Here is a 15767-nt window from a genome sequence, read left to right on the forward strand (position 1 = left end):
TAACCCTTAGATACTATTGTCAGAGTCTGCCTTTTAACAAGGATAATGAGCATTGGAGCAGATTGCACCAGATATTTTTACCCCGCTGAAAGCAGTTGTTCAATAATGCTGGTAGAACAGTATTTAAAGAATAAACTGCAACCAGAAGAAGCTTATCAACAGGGGCTTTTTAGAAGGCTATTTAAAAATAAAACTTCATTTATGATAATCTAATATAAATTTTGTCTTGCTTTAAGTACCCTTAATTATCCTTTTTAACTAGGACATTGTCCTTCCCAGAGAGACTTGAACTGATTGCTTTAGAGTGGTGTAGGAAAAAGAGTAGGAAATGGGACGTGGGAACTATATTAAAAATAAAATAAGTTAATTACCAATGGGAAAAGAGACAGAATGAAAACTTCAAAGACATTCATTACTTATGGTTCAGTATAGAATTCAACCCACTTCTGAGCGTGTAAGAAATGCAAAGATGTTATCTTTTACTAAAAAAAAAATTGTTAATGAGTCATTTCTACAACAATCATGGCAAAATAATAAAATTTTAATTGCCTGTGTCTTTTTATGCAGTAATCCAACTGATTGCTAGACATTTTTAAGCTAGTGTTGATTGATTGCAACCATTTAATTTCCCGGAAACCATCTTGGATGTATAAACAGTGTTAAGATGCATGATATTTTCTTAGGAACCATTACTAGTACTAGAAGAACTGTCTGGGATTTGAGATTTAAAAACAAACTTCATATTGCACACACAGCATCAGCAAATCATTTTCTAAGGCGGAATTAACCAAAGGAAATGAGTTTTATTATCATCAGCTGTCTCTATTGTAGCTTTCTGACACACTGAAATATCACAGTGTTAGCATGTATTCACTATAAAGAAAAAATCAGGATTGGGGTTATAATCAAGAATCAGGGCCAGACATGGTGGTTCACATGTGTAATCCCAGCAATTTGGGAGGCCAAGATGGGCAGACCTCTTGAGATCAGGAGTTCAAGACCAGCCTGGCCAAATGGTGAAACCCCATCTCTACTGAAAATACAAAAAAAAAAGTAGCCAGGCATGGTGGTGGGTACTTGTAATCCCAGCTACTCGGGAGGCTGAGGCAGGATAATTGCTTGAACCCAGGAGGTGGAAGTCGCAGTGAGCTGAGATTGCGCCACTGCACTCCAGCCTGGGTAATAGAGTGAGACCCTGTCTCAAAAACAAAAAAAGAATTGGGCACATAGCAGTCAAGTTCCCACAGTCATAAGCAGCAACGAAGAAAATGAAGGCTGAGCGATCAGATTAGAGGTATAGCACAGTTATGAGGCATGCTGGGCAGAATGAAGACAGCTCTTGGCCATACCTCCTCTTTATCTTCAATGAAAAGGTTTGCCTCAATCAAATGGTGGCCAAGTAAGACCAAGTGTCATAACACACTTAAGCATCTCAATGAGCTTTTGAGGAAGCATGGGTAAATGTATTCACAGTGCTTGAAATGACTATATTCCACATGACTGCATATGCAATATGTATTCATTTGTGTTAGACACCATTTCATCTTTACAGAATAGAGGCTCACTAAGCATAAACACCTCTTAATCAGTTCTGGGTTTCTATCTGGATACAACTTGATCAAATATTCTTGGAATTGATGTTGAGATATAGGCCACTTAGTCTCGAGAGGGCATGGCAGAGCAGTTAGGATTTCTAGAAGATATTGGGAATGAAAGGTAGGCAGAGTCTGCATTGCCTAGAACAATGAAGGGAACGGAACCAGAATTGCAACATATGCTCCTTCTCCAGGTGGCCTGTGCTTCTCCTTAAATGTTTCAGTTCAGACTAGGTTCTCCATCAGAAGGAAAATATGCCAGGGAAGATAAGCTATTTCAAAGGGAGTGAAAGCAGTTGGGTTTGGCTTAACCCATTTTGACAGTGTTACTAGAGGCCTTTACAATGATTGTTGGTGGGGAGCATAATTTGACTTCTTTCTTGAACCCTAAGAAAGGACCCTGGGTTCCATCAGGGAAAATAAAAAAGTTAATAAAAAATAAAAAGTAAAAAAGTAAATAAAAAGTTAATAAATAAAAAGGATTAAAAAAAAAAGAACTTCTGGTCAGATGTGGTGGTTCTTGCCTGTAATCCCAGCACTTTGGGAGGCTGAGGCAGAGGATCATTTGAGGCCAGGAGTTTGAGACCAGCCTGGGCAGACAGCAAGATCCCATTTCTACAAAAAGTGAAAAATTAGCCAAGTGTGATGGCACACACCTGTAGTCCCAGCTATCCATCTACTTTGGAGACTGAGGCAAGAGGATTGCTTGAGCCCAGTTCAAGGCTGCAGCAAGCCATGATTGCACCATTGCACTGCACTTCAGCCTCGGTGATAGATCAAGACCCTGTCTAAAAAAAAAAAAAAAAAAAAGGAAAGAAAATAGACCTTCTACATATATATGTATCTCCTCAAGGGATATGTAAATAACATGGGGATTATGTATTGAAGTGAATTATCTCCTGCACTGTTATGCCCCCCAGTGAAGTAATTAAGGGATGATGTAGGAGGTTACTCTCTAGCTTTATTAACCTGCCAAATTTATTCCTTCAACTGGAATCTTTTTCAACTGATTATTAATGTTTTAAATGATTGCATTGTTAGCTGAGATTTGTGTTACATGAAGTTTCTTTTCATGTGCTGTCTATACTTGATCTGTAAAATGGGACTGCAGTAGTAACCTCCTTCGAAAACTCAATGTACAATTTTATTATTCTATTTGTAAAGGAAATTTATGAACCAATTAGTGAGCAGATTGATACATAACTTCTGTTTCTCTGCTACAGAAACTGAAATGTCCTTAAAATCTAGAGTGCTGCAAGGAAAAAGAAAGAAGTGGGGACAGGAGTTAGGGTCGTGAGAGATTAGCTAATAAAAATGTATGATATTCTTTTTTTAAATATGCTTTAAAAATAATAATGTATTAATGGTCATGACAAAATGGATCAGTCATTTAAAGCTCTTTAACTTCTCTGCATCTTTTCACTCACGCCTCACTCCACCCCCTCCCATACCACGCCTGGGTTGTTCCCACGGACCTTTCTCTCCTCTCCTTGTGCCCAGTCCCTCTTTCATGCCACTTCCTTGCAGAAGACGCACCAGAGTGCCCTGCAGGTACAGCAGAAAGCCGAGGTGCTGCTCCAGGCCGGCCACTACGATGCCGATGCCATCCGGGAATGTGCTGAGAAGGTGGCCCTCCACTGGCAGCAGCTCATGCTGAAGATGGAAGACCGGCTAAAATTGGTCAATGCCTCTGTGGCCTTTTACAAAACTTCTGAACAGGTGAGGGAAAAGACTGTGGGGCTTGTGGGGCTGAGATTGCCAGGGGGCCATTTTCTGCCTTGCAGTGTAAATGTGCAGTGCTTATGTCAGCGAGAAGCCTGTCCTTTCAGTACTAACATTTGAAGAATAGTTTGTGGAAACACCACAGTTGACTTTCTTATCATCCTTTCCATTTGAGCACTGGACTATGGGGTTTGTCTCATAAATTTCTGAAACTCACCAGATCTATAGGGAGGTGTTGAAATAGAAATTGGGTGTATACTAAATGCTAGATTTGGGCAGTATATTAGTCAGCTGTTACCACCATAGTGCTGTGTAACAAAACAATCCAAAACTCAGTGACATAAAACAATAAACATTTATTTTTTTCTTAAGTGTCTTAGGTTCAGTTGATTTTGGCTGAACTTGGTAGAACTAGGCTTCGAGCTGCAGACTGGGTCTAGATCTGTTCCCATGTCTCTTGTCCTCCTTGACCTGAAGCCATCTCAGGCACATTTATAGTTAAAGGCAGGAATGCAAGAGTCCAAAATCTACCATACAAGTGCATTTCAAGTCTTTGCTTGTGTCATATTCTCTTTCATCTCATTGGCTAAAATAAGTCACATGGCCAAGCCAACATTAGTGAGGCAGCAATGCCTCCTATGAAGGTTGGGAGAGGAGAATGAATAGTTGCTGAACAATAATTAAATCTACCACAGTTAGGCATTATGCACTACTTGAAAAACACATGGTTCTTTCATTCCTTGGGCCCCCAGTCTAATGGAGGAAACACAGCTCTCTGTCATTAGGGAACTAGAAACACACCAGATAAGATGATGCTGCTGTGGGAGAAAAGGCAGGAGCTGGACAGTAGGGCCATAACGATGCAGTGTGTTACCCTTTCATCTGTACAGCAATATGCACAGGGCTAAGAGGATTTTTAAAATGATTTGGGTGCTGTTAGGGAATTCTTTTTATGAAACAGGTTTAAAACAGGAGTAATTTTACTCAGTGTATAGTAGTTTCCTTCTCTGAATTGTTCCCTGGTAGAAATAAATCAGAGAATCATTCTCCTTGGATGACTTACAGGGACCATCGGAAAGTCTTCCTTGGAGCAAATATGACATGCGCATCAGAGGGCCCTGCAGCCAGGGTGAGAGTCTCCACCCCTTCTTTCAGTCCTTTCTGTTGCTTCAGAGGAATGACTCCTTTGATGGCCACAGAAGTGAGGAGCTGCAGACTAAGATGATAGAGAGCTTCCCCAGTTGATCCCTAGATTCAACACAGTCTCAATCAAATCCCAGCAAGCTTTTTTTTTGTAGAAATTAATACATTGATTCTAAGATCTATATGGAAATAAAATGCAAATGCAAAGAATACAAATGCAAAGAAACTAGAAGAGCCAAAACGATTTTGAAAAGGAAGAACAAACTTGGACAAGTCACACTGCCTGATTTAAGGACTTATTCTAAAGCAGCAGGGATCAAGACAGAATCGTATCTGGTATAAGAATAAACACAATGAGACAGAATAGTGGTTATAGAAATAGATCCACATATATACAGTCAGTTGATTTTTGACAAAAAAATTCAATGAGTGAAGGAAAGTCTTTTCAGCAAAGGATGCTGGACAACTGAATATCCATATGGAAACAAATGAGGCTTAATTCCTGTCTAATATTATACACAAATGTTAATTTGAGATGGATCAAGATGGTGAAGGACACTGGAGTAAGAGTCAAGAAATTTTACCCTGAAGTGACCTTGCCGAAGGTTACTTTACCCCTCTGGATTTCTGTTTCCTGTCTTGTTAAAGTATTTCTCATTTCTTCTAATCCCAAATTGTTTGCTTCTAAGTTCAGTCCTATCATGGGACAGATCTCAAGTACTCTTTTTCTTAAAGTTTTTACATGTCTTTAAGCTGTTTTATCTCAAAACATGAGCTGCCTGCACGTTTCAGGCCTTGCAGAAAGAAAGGTGTGATGCTAGAGATGGGACTAGAGAAGTCACCTCAAGTTTGATGACAGATCTTCTCATGTGATGCTAGAGATGGGACTGGAGAAGTCACCTCAAGTTTGGTGACAGATCTTCTCATGTGATGCTAGAGATGGGACTGGAGAAGTCACCTCAAGTTTGATGACAGATCTTCTCATGTGATGCTAGAGATGGGACTGGAGAAGTCACCTCAAGTTTGATGACAGATCTTCTCATGTGATGCTAGAGATGGGACTGGAGAAGTCACCTCAAGTTTGGTGACAGATCTTCTCATGTGATGCTAGAGATGGGACTGGAGAAGTCACCTCAAGTTTGGTGACAGATCTTCTCATGTGATGCTAGAGATGGGACTGGAGAAGTCACCTCAAGTTTGGTGACAGATCTTCTCATGTGATGCTAGAGATGGGACTAGGGAAGTCACCTCAAGTTTGGTGACAGATCTTCTCATGTGATGCTAGAGATGGGACTAGGGAAGTCACCTCAAGTTTGGTGACAGATCTTCTCATGTGATGCTAGAGATGGGACTGGAGAAGTCACCTCAAGTTTGGTGACAGATCTTCTCATGTGATGCTAGAGATGGGACTAGAGAAGTCACCTCAAGATTGGTGACAGATCTTCTCATGTGATGCTAGAGATGGGACTAGGGAAGTCACCTCAAGATTGGTGACAGATCTTCTCATGTGATGCTAGAGATGGGACTAGAGAAGTCACCTCAAGATTGGTGACAGATCTTCTCATGTGATGCTAGAGATGGGACTAGAGAAGTCACCTCAAGTTTGGTGACAGATCTTCTCATGACATGAGAAGCATGTCTGGCTATGAGAGCGTTCTTCCTGGGACAGCTTTCAGCACATCTTTCAGTTCAGTTCATAACTCAATGAATGCCCTATCCAAAGACATCTTTCATCTGGCTGGGCACGGAGGCTCACGCCTATAATCCCAGCACTTTGGGAGGCCAAGGCAGGTGGATCACTTGAGGTCAGGGGTTCAAAACCAGCCTGACAAACATGGTGAAACCCTGTCTCTACTAAAAATACAAAAATTAGCTGGATGTGGTGGTGAGCGACTGTAATCCCAGCTACTCAGGAGCCTGAGGCAGGAGAATCCCTTGAACCTGGGAGGCAGAGGTTGCATTGAGCCAAGATTGCACCACTGCACTCCAGCCTGGGTGAAAAAGCTAGATTCCGTCTCAAAAAAAAAAAAAAAAAAAAAAAAAAGACGTTTTTCATCAAAAGACTTTCTCAGAGAAGGCCAAAGATAGTCATAGCAGTTCTTCCCTACTGCCGTATCCAAACAAGTAATCAAAGTCTATTGAAGGAAATCCAATCATTCCCAAAGTCTACTGAAGGAAATCCAGTATCCATGGGGTATTTGTTCCAGGACCCCTCACAGATATGTACATTCTCCCATGTAATTTAAATCATCTCTGGATTACTTATAATACCTAAGTATTATAGTAAATAGTTGTTATATGCTATTGTTTTTATTTGTATTATTTTTTATTGCTATACTTTTTAACTAAGTATTTTCAATCCATAGTTGGTTGAATCATGGATGTAGAACCCACAGATTTGGAAGGATGGCTGTATAGGTATATGAGTTTCAATTTTCTGCATCCTCCTCCAGGCCCTGATACTAGGCTGCCTTGGTTTTTCCACTATGGGACCCAGGCTGAATTTCCCTCCAAACTCCCTTCAAAATGCTTTTGCTCTCTTCTGAGTTCATTTATAAGGTCACTTAGCATGACCTCTCAGCATCTTTAGAACTAAAAAGCTTCTTAACTGTCTTTCAGGTTAACCCAAATTTGTTACCCCTCTACAGGAAATGTGTATTTTGTAATAGAGGTTCTGGAGATGTCATGTCCTATGGTGGGATTTTTGAGACATTTTTCCCCAGGGGAGGAAAAAGATGACATTCATTTATGGCCTGTAAACCATACAACATAGGCAACTTCCTCCTTTGTCTCTGCTTGAGGCTCCTTACTATGGGACAAGTACAGATGGTCGGATAAGTCAAGTATCTTCTCCAAACCTCATTTCCTGTTCTACCTAATTTATAGTTATTGTGAGATTATAACAATATAATGTGTAAAAACACTGAAACTCCAAAGATACTAGACTGTCTTACTTTCTTACTTTACCTACTATTCCTAGGTAATGTCATCAACTCCCATAAAAAGATGATTCCAAAATCTGTATCTCCAGTCATCATGTCTCCCAGGTTTCAGACACAGGACTGTCACTGCCTCCTGGATTTCTCTTAGATGTCTCAGAGGCATTAAACTTCTAATGAAAAATGTCATATGTGTAGGCTTCTATAGGCTGAAGGTCCTCAGAGAATAATTCCTGAATAATTAATTTACTGAGTCTTTTCTTCCATGATTCACTAGGTGTGTAGTGTCCTGGAGAGCTTAGAGCAAGAATACCGGAGAGATGAGGACTGGTGTGGTGGACGAGATAAGCTGGGGCCAGCAGCAGAGATCGACCATGTCATTCCCCTCATCAGCAAACATTTGGAACAAAAGGAGGCCTTTCTTAAGGTCAGAGCACATTGTCATGCAAGGGCTCAGACTCCTGGCCTTGGCCGCCTTGTTCTTTCATCCTCTTTCTCTTTCTCTTTTCTTTCTTTCTCTTTCTCTCTCTTTCTCTTTCTCTCTCTTTCTCTTTCTCCTCCTCCTCCTTCTTCTCCTTCTCTCTCTCTCTCACACACACACACACACACACACACACACACACACACGCAGCTTCAAACATGCTTCCCAGCCCCTCTTTTTTTCTAACCTCTTCCCTAAAGGGGTAAGGGAATGTAATGAAGATGTTGACTGGTTAATTTCAAAGGGTGAAAGGTTACATTTCCAACATTTATTTCTCTCTTGCACTTTTTGTATAGTTAGGCGATCAGGATACACTGTTACTACTACTGCAATCTTCAGATATCCCAGTATCCCGTGGATGTTGTTAACTGAGAAAAAGACATGCTTTCATTCAGTTGTGTTTGGCTAATTAAATTATTTTTTGATAGTAATATCAAAAACATATAAGCTTAGATATAAAACATGATTAAAATATTTTATAAATGGAAGATGCAAAAATTAGGGTAAGAATTAAAGAAATGAATTTGGATGCCCTATTTATTTATCAATCTAGCAATTACCAATTACCAACACACATGACACTGTTCATTCTTCTGTATTAAGAGAGAAATGCCTTATTCCTAATATTCTGCTAGAGCCCTGCCTTCTGAGGGAGGAAGCACAGGCCTGCTCTGCACAGACTGTCAGCTGGTGTGGGAAGTCCTTGTGAGCCTCCTTCCCCAGCCTTTGATCTTCTCCTCTGATCGCCTCTCTTCTGTGTTCAAGCTCATCTAAAGGCTGCATTTGCTCTCAGATTTCTTGCTTTCATGTTCTGCTTCCTCTCAGGTTTCTGGGAATAGAAGAGACAATTTTTATACCCTGACATGTTGCCATTGATTTTATTCAATTCTGTAATTAACTGCCTTTCTTTTATTAGGGATTTTCTCTACTTGACTACCACCTTGAGCTTAATTTTTATTTTTTTTAAGCTGGCCTCTCCCTGCCCTCCTCCTATCTATCTGGTATCCGCACCTATATGGGTCAGAACCTCTAGTAATCAGCTCTTACTAGTAAGACTAAATAGAAATTCTTCTGTGCAGAGCTTATGATGATTTTTTAAAGTTTTCCCTATTACAAAGCAAATTTTAAAATGGAACAATTTAAGTAGAGCATATAAAAATCTCAAACAGAAGTGTAAATATATTTCTTCATAAAATTAAAAGAAAATGTTTCTATTGAAGAAAGAAATAGAAAACCCTCTGGTCTGATGTTTTCCATATGTCCCTGAAACCATAGTGAGAAGCTCCCTGTCACTGTGGGAATGATATGCCCAGTAAATAGAATATTGAGCTCTTTATTTATATTCATTAGTTGATCCACTTGAAACTCCTTAAGCTGAGACCACCATCAAGCTGTTTTATTCAGGAGCCTCTGTGTTCATGGACACACCAGCAGGCGTTTGTGTACCAGATATTCCAGATGCCTTTGTTGCTAATTTTTTTATATAACCAGAAAATTATAAAATTTTATAATTGTTTCTATTAATTATATAATAATTTTTAATTATATTATTTGTAGGATCAGAGGGAAAGTATAAGATTCTAAAATTTTACATTTCAGGGTGTGTAGAAGAAAAAAATTTCAAAGAAAAATGAAATAAAATTTCAGTTTATCTAGAGATAATTTAATTCTGAAAACTATGGATTAAAAATTAGTATGCTAGTATTTATTACTTTACAACCAGAAAAAAAACCTGCTTTGTAGAGAAATACAGAAAGTACTAGGCTTGAGAGGAACAAGAAATACTGTCAGTCATCCTAGATCCTAGATCTGTGTTGCTTCCTGGCTCCTGCCCTTTCTGGGCACCAGTCTTGTCCATCAGCACAGCAAGGAGAATGTGATCAGCCCTCTCTCTGCCACCCACAGCTAATATGAGTCGTAAAGGGGGTAGGTAATATAACAGCTGTTAGTCCTTTATGTAGACTGGCATTCTTCAACAATAGAATGCTTATTAGTGATATTTAGATGAGGGGGACTTCATGGGCAAATAAGTCTGAAAAATGTTTGTAATTTCCATTTAGATTTGGAATGTAGGGTTAATAGATGTGTTTACCAAATTTACTTGCTCAAGTCTAAGTCACACTGATTTTCAAGTGGGTTTATGTTTCCTGAGCTTACACCAGTGGTCACGTAAGAGGCATTCTGGTGGCTGAGGAAAAGTAGGCTGAGAGTGAATGTTAGTAATGCCTGATCAACATAGAAGGAGACGAGAGGTGGCTCATTTCTGATTTTTATCTGAGATGGAATGGGCAGAGACACAAGGAGTAATTCTTCACTTGAAAAAAGGAAAGCTCAGAAGGGTGAGCTCCATAAATTGGAATTGGAGTCTCCATGAACCAGTGGTGACTTCCAGAGCTCTGCTCCTTCTAGATTCCTTCAGAGTTCTTGAGCCTCCTAAAAAGTATAAGGAGGAGCCAGGTGCCATGGCTCATGCCTGTAATCCTAGCACTTTGGGAGGCCAAGGTGGGCAGATTGCTTGAGCCCAGTAGTTTGAGACCAGCCTGGGCAACATAGTGAGACCTCATGTTTACAAAAAATGCACAAAGTTACCTAGGTGTGGCGGTGGGCACCTGTAGTCCCAGCTACTCAGGAGGCTGAGATGGAAGGACTGCTTGAGCCTGGGAGGTGGAGACTGCGGTGAGCTATGATCATGCCACTGCACTGCAGCCTAGGCAACAGAGTGAGACTCTGTCTCAAAAAAGAAAAAAAAAAAAAGCAAAAGAAAATATGGAAGGAAGGAGGGTATGCCTTCTCCATTGTCTTGGATTCCATACACCTGCTGGGACAGGGGCCTCACAGCTTTGTCTTTCGCAGGCCTGCACCCTGGCTCGGCGGAATGCTGAGGTGTTTCTCAAGTACATCCACAGGAACAACGTCAGCATGCCCAGTGTCGCCAGCCACACTCGGGGACCCGAGCAACAAGTGAAAGGTCAGTGAGAGACCTGCCCAGCCACCAGTCACTTCAGCGACAGCCCCTCCCTGAAATATACCATGTACCCAGTTTTCACACAATCTCAAATTTCCTGCTGCTTCTCCTTAGAAATGAAAATGTATGATGTGGGATGGTGTGGGCAGTAATGATTCATGGTCAATTTTTAAACACGCATCAAGATCTGGAAGGCAAAAACAAGGATAAAATTTCCCCAAGTATTTTCATTTATCTTAGAGTCTGGACAGCACTGCCTAGTGGAATTTTCTGAAATAATGGAAATTGCCTGTATCTACGCTGTGCAATACAGCAGCTACTGAGCTAGTGCAACTAAGGAACTAAATTTTAACTTGTATTTAATATTAACTAATTTAAATGTAAATTACTGATTTTGATTCCTGGTTAATATATTGAACAGCACAAGACTAGGGTGTCTTATAGCCTAGGAACAGAATGTGGACTGAGAATCCTAAAACCAAATGCTGACCCTGGATTTGTCACTGATTGATTAAGCCTTTTAAAACTTTAGTTTCTTATTTAAAATGAGGGGAGCATCTAGACTCTTGCTCCTCAAATTGTAGTTCCCAGACCAGCCACAATGACATCCCTAGGAGAGTGTATGAAATATAGAATCTCAGGCCACACCCAAACCGACTGAGTCAGAAACTGCATTTTGGCACTTTGGGAGGCTGAGATGGGAGGGTTGCTTGAGGCCAGGAGTTCAAGACCAGCCTGGGCAACATATTGAGACCCCATCTCTACAAAAAATTAAAAAATTAGCCTGGTATGGTGGCGTGCCTATAGCTCTAGTTATTCAGGAGGCCGAGATGGAAGGCTCATTTGAGCCCAAGAGCTGGAGGCTGCAGTGAGCCATGTTTGCACCATTGTACTCCAGCCTGGGCAATAGAGTGAGACGCTGTCTCAAAAAAAGAAAAAAGAAAAGAAAAAAAAGAAAAAAAGAACAAAGAACCTGCATTTTGGCAAAACTGCCCAATTCTACCAACCAGGTAATTTGTGTGTTCATAAAATTTAGATAAGTGCTATTCTACATAATCTTTAATATCTCCGAATTCTAGAAAGTCTATGATAATAAATATATAACTTTTAAAAATTGCCTATTATCTGACCATGTGAAACTTAAATCATTATCTGTGGAATTATTCTGACCATGCAGAAATTAGCCTTTGAGTGAGTGAAGAGTTTAACAAATGTCATCTTGCCAAGGCAGAGAAATATAACTCTGGAGTCCGAGGCTAGGAATGGAACCCAAGCCGACTTGGAGTGAGGAGTGGGGTATGGGCTTGGAGACACCATGGACAGGGTAGGGTGCGTGGTCTGCTTAAGAAGAGCTTCCCTCTTTGCTCAGATAGCTCAAGAGTTGGAGAGAACAGAGACCACTGGAAAGAATGGAATCAAAGTTCCCTACAGAGAGGAGGGAGCAGAGTTTCTCTTCCAAATGTGCTATTCTATTTGTGGTCAGGGGACCTGTGGGGAGCTGGTATTATGTCACTTCTTCCAGCACATTTGAAAGCATATGTTCTGGCTTCCAAATGTAGATGGGAGCTTGGGTGAGGCCAGCTGCCTACTGAGAGACCACATATCCCACCTACACCTCTGCGTGCTGAAGAATAACAGGCACCCAGAGACAGTGGGAAATGCCTACATCTTCTTGGAGGCAAGACCAAGTTGTTGCCCATGTAAAAGCTTTCAGGAAGAGGGGGGAAAATAATCCTGAAACTCTTTATGATTTCTGCCAGATCTGGGTTGATTCCCTCAGTCACACCATAGAGGGAGGGAGCTTCAATGAGCAAAACTCTGGCTAGGGAACATAAAGACTAAAAGAAATGGGTTTCTACTCCTTCCTTGCCCAATTGAAGCTTCCACCTGAGCAGGGACCTACAATCCCTTATATATCAGTTTCCTTTTCACCTACTACCTAGACTCAAAGCCAGTGCCATATATTTTTGGCTTTTTTATGCTGCTGGTTGTTATATGGCTGCATAACAACCAAGAAATTCAATGATATCCAACTGTAAACATATGTTGTTGAAGTGGCTGTGCATTGGCTGAGGAGCAGCATCTCAACTGGGCTCAGCAGTGCAGTTGTGCTTCAGTCTGCAAGTCTAGCTAGCTTGGCTCCTTCACTCCAGGTAAGAGCTTGTTTGCTCCACGTGTATTTATTCTGGGACCTGGGTCGAAGGGGCAGCAGTTACCCAGGAGAATTTCCTATAGTGGTGATAGCAGAGGTACAAGGAGCAAAGTCAAGTCTGCAAGTACATTTCAAGGCCCTGCTTGTGTTTTATCTGTTAACAACTCATTTGCTAAAGCAAGTTATGTAGCTAAGCCAGAGATCAGTTGGGGAGTGAGCAACTGTACTTGCCTCTTTGGGAAGGAATGAAAAAGTTACATGATAAAGGCTTAGATACAGGGAAGGGTGAATGATTGGACCCAAAAAAGGCTGAGCACGGTGGCTCGCGCCTGTAATCCTAGCACTTTGGGAGACCGAGGAAGGAGGATCACTTGAGCTCAGAAGTTTGAGACCAGCCTGGGCAACATAGTGAGACCCCCATCTCTACAAAAAAAAAAAAATGTTTACAAATTGACTGGGTGTGGTGGCGTGTGCCTATAGTCTCAGCTACTCAGGTGGCTGAAGTGGGAGGATCACTTGAGCCTGGGAGGTTGAGGCTGCAATGAGCTATGACTGCACTCCATCTTGGGTGACAGAGCAAGACCCTGTCAAAAAAAAAAAAAAAGAACAAGAAAAAGAAAGAAAGAAAGAGAGAGAAAGAAAAAAAAGCACTTAGCCTAAAAGATGAAAAACAGATTCTGTCCTCAGAAAGCCAAACTTGGCTGGGGAGGTGAGAATGAAGGAGTATGAAAAGTACATAAAATCAACAAAAACTTCTCAGTGCAAGCACTTCACTTTGGGTTGTACCATCTTCGTAAAGCATAGAAAGTTGTACTTTATAGTCTTAGTAATATGGGAGACCAAGGTGACTAACAACTCAGGCTCTGAAGTCAGATTTGGCCCGAATCTGAACTCTGCCCTTTCCTATCTGAACAACCCTGAGCTAGTTACCTTCCCTACGCTTTCTCAAAAGCTTTCTCTAAACCTCAGTTTTCTCATCTGTATAATGGAGATAATAATGGTGCATGCATTATGGGGTATTATAAAAATGAGTGTCTTCCACATACTGAGTATGTGATATTCATATGGTTATTATTGTATATTTTGTTAATATCTAATATAGCAACAGGAAGCAGGAAGAAGACATAATAAAATAAATTTGATTGCTTCCAGCATAGAACATACTATTTAAAACGCTTAAGACATCTATCCACGTACCCAGCTATTCCTGAAACAACAGAAAATTTAGAGAGGGAAATAGCATGGACTGAATACCTAACCATGGCCCACTTGCTTTGCTATATGCCTTGTATATACACTCATTTAACACCACTTTTAGCTTTTCTTATGATCACATCCAAAACAACATGGGCCCAGAGACAACAGGAAGACATAATTCCAACACAGCTTCCCTATGACCACTATTTAGAAGTGTTTAGAGGCTGTGCCGTTAAAGTGCTGTGTGCACAACCTCTTGTGCAGGTCCAAGAACATTGCTCATGATGTGGGTTGTCAAGCCAGTGATACCAGCCCTCATTCCACTATAAATCTCCTGCCTCTCTTCTAATGAGTCCTTAAGAATGACTGAGATTCCTGTCAAGGTCCACCCATGCTCATTAGACTCTGGGGGCCAATTGAATTAGTTGCTTCTTAAGATTTCTTAGAACCAAGGACTAATTTTGCTATAAAGAGAATCGGGGTCATTTGTAAGTCACTGGTGTTATATTCTTCCCACCTTAGTTGATGGAACTCTCATCAATGGGCTCTCCCCCTAGACTCCTCGACCTTGCTCGTTTCTAGGAAATCCTTTCTGTATCCAGCTTTTGCTCCCTTTCTTCTGATGCTGGATTAGTCTCATGGGGATGCTTGAAATCACAGTCATGGTCACCTGGCACCTGGGCCGTGGGGCTGAAGGGGTTGGTTGGATTTGCTCAGAGCCCCTTGTGACCATCATGCATCTCCTCTGCCCACAGCCATCCTGAGTGAGCTCCTGCAGAGGGAGAATCGCGTGCTGCATTTCTGGACCTTGAAGAAGCGGCGGTTAGACCAATGCCAGCAATATGTGGTGTTCGAGCGCAGCGCTAAGCAGGTTGTCCAAAGCTTTCCCTGGCACTATCTCAGTTCTGGGGAGCATACAGAGGCCCATCACCAAGGCTTAGTCCAGAAGAGGGCCACAGCAGCAGATTGGGGATGGGAGTGGGGAATAAAGAAGAAAGAAAGCAGGTTGTCACCTGTCAGCAGTTCAGCATTTACCAAGCTCTATGTTTTGAGTTTGGTACCAGGAGATGTGAGGAAATGCTAGGTCACCCACTATGCCCCTAATTCGTGGATGATATTAGGCCTGGCCTAGAAGAGTCCTCAGTCTACTGGGGGAGACCCTCTCTTTGCTGGTAAATGTTCCAAAGCAAGGGAGGGCTCATTCATAAAAAAAAACTCCAGAGCTACATACCAATCAAATTGTCAGTGTTTCCTGGGTCCATTAAGTTGTCCCAACAATAACCTTCATTGTAGTATGGCATGTTTTCCTACTGACAGCTGCCTTTTTGGGGACTGGATGAGTTGTTTCCTCCCATAGGCGCTTGACTGGATCCAAGAAACAGGTGAATTTTACCTCTCAACACATACCTCCACTGGAGAGACCACAGAGGAGACTCAGGAACTGCTGAAAGAATATGGGGAATTCAGGGTGCCTGCCAAGGTAGGAAACATCCCAGAGCCTCCCCCAGATCCACCCAGAACTCTCCATTCTGGCCAATTTCACATTATGGAAGCAAAGACAGCTTCTGTAAGC

At 41.4% G+C, this 15767-nt stretch overlaps 1 protein-coding gene across 40 annotated transcripts in view, besides 2 other annotated features; it reads left to right on the forward strand.

The window, feature by feature from the left end:
- The window catches only part of KALRN (kalirin RhoGEF kinase), a 692957-nt gene that overhangs the window by 397843 nt on the left and 279347 nt on the right, over positions 1-15767 (forward strand). For 29 of the 40 annotated variants that reach the window (NR_170953.1, NR_170952.1, XM_006713810.4 and 26 more), the window contains 5 exons: positions 3096-3314; positions 7677-7826; positions 10734-10848; positions 14950-15065; positions 15552-15674. Coding sequence is in view for 38 of the 40 variants with exons in the window: in XM_006713810.4 (XP_006713873.1) it covers positions 3096-3314; positions 7677-7826; positions 10734-10848; positions 14950-15065; positions 15552-15674 (723 nt within the window). In the remaining 2 variants the exon portion in view is untranslated. The remainder of the gene's footprint in view (positions 1-3095; positions 3315-7676; positions 7827-10733; positions 10849-14949; positions 15066-15551; positions 15675-15767) is intronic. The other 11 variants (XM_006713811.4, XM_006713813.4, XM_024453811.2 and 8 more) reach the window with 2 other exon arrangements.
- Positions 7526-8095: an enhancer, noted in NCBI's record as "OCT4-NANOG hESC enhancer chr3:124157584-124158153 (GRCh37/hg19 assembly coordinates)". NCBI's record gives its function as "activates a minimal SCP1, AML or CMV promoter by ChIP-STARR-seq in naive and primed H9 embryonic stem cells {active_cell/tissue: H9 hESC(naive and primed)}" and the evidence as "EXISTENCE:reporter gene assay evidence [ECO:0000049][PMID:30033119]".
- Positions 10801-11300: an enhancer, noted in NCBI's record as "H3K4me1 hESC enhancer chr3:124160859-124161358 (GRCh37/hg19 assembly coordinates)". NCBI's record gives its function as "activates a minimal SCP1, AML or CMV promoter by ChIP-STARR-seq in naive H9 embryonic stem cells {active_cell/tissue: H9 hESC(naive)}" and the evidence as "EXISTENCE:reporter gene assay evidence [ECO:0000049][PMID:30033119]".

Source organism: Homo sapiens, chromosome 3, assembly GCF_000001405.40.
Source record: "Homo sapiens chromosome 3, GRCh38.p14 Primary Assembly".
NCBI lineage: Eukaryota > Metazoa > Chordata > Mammalia > Primates > Hominidae > Homo > Homo sapiens.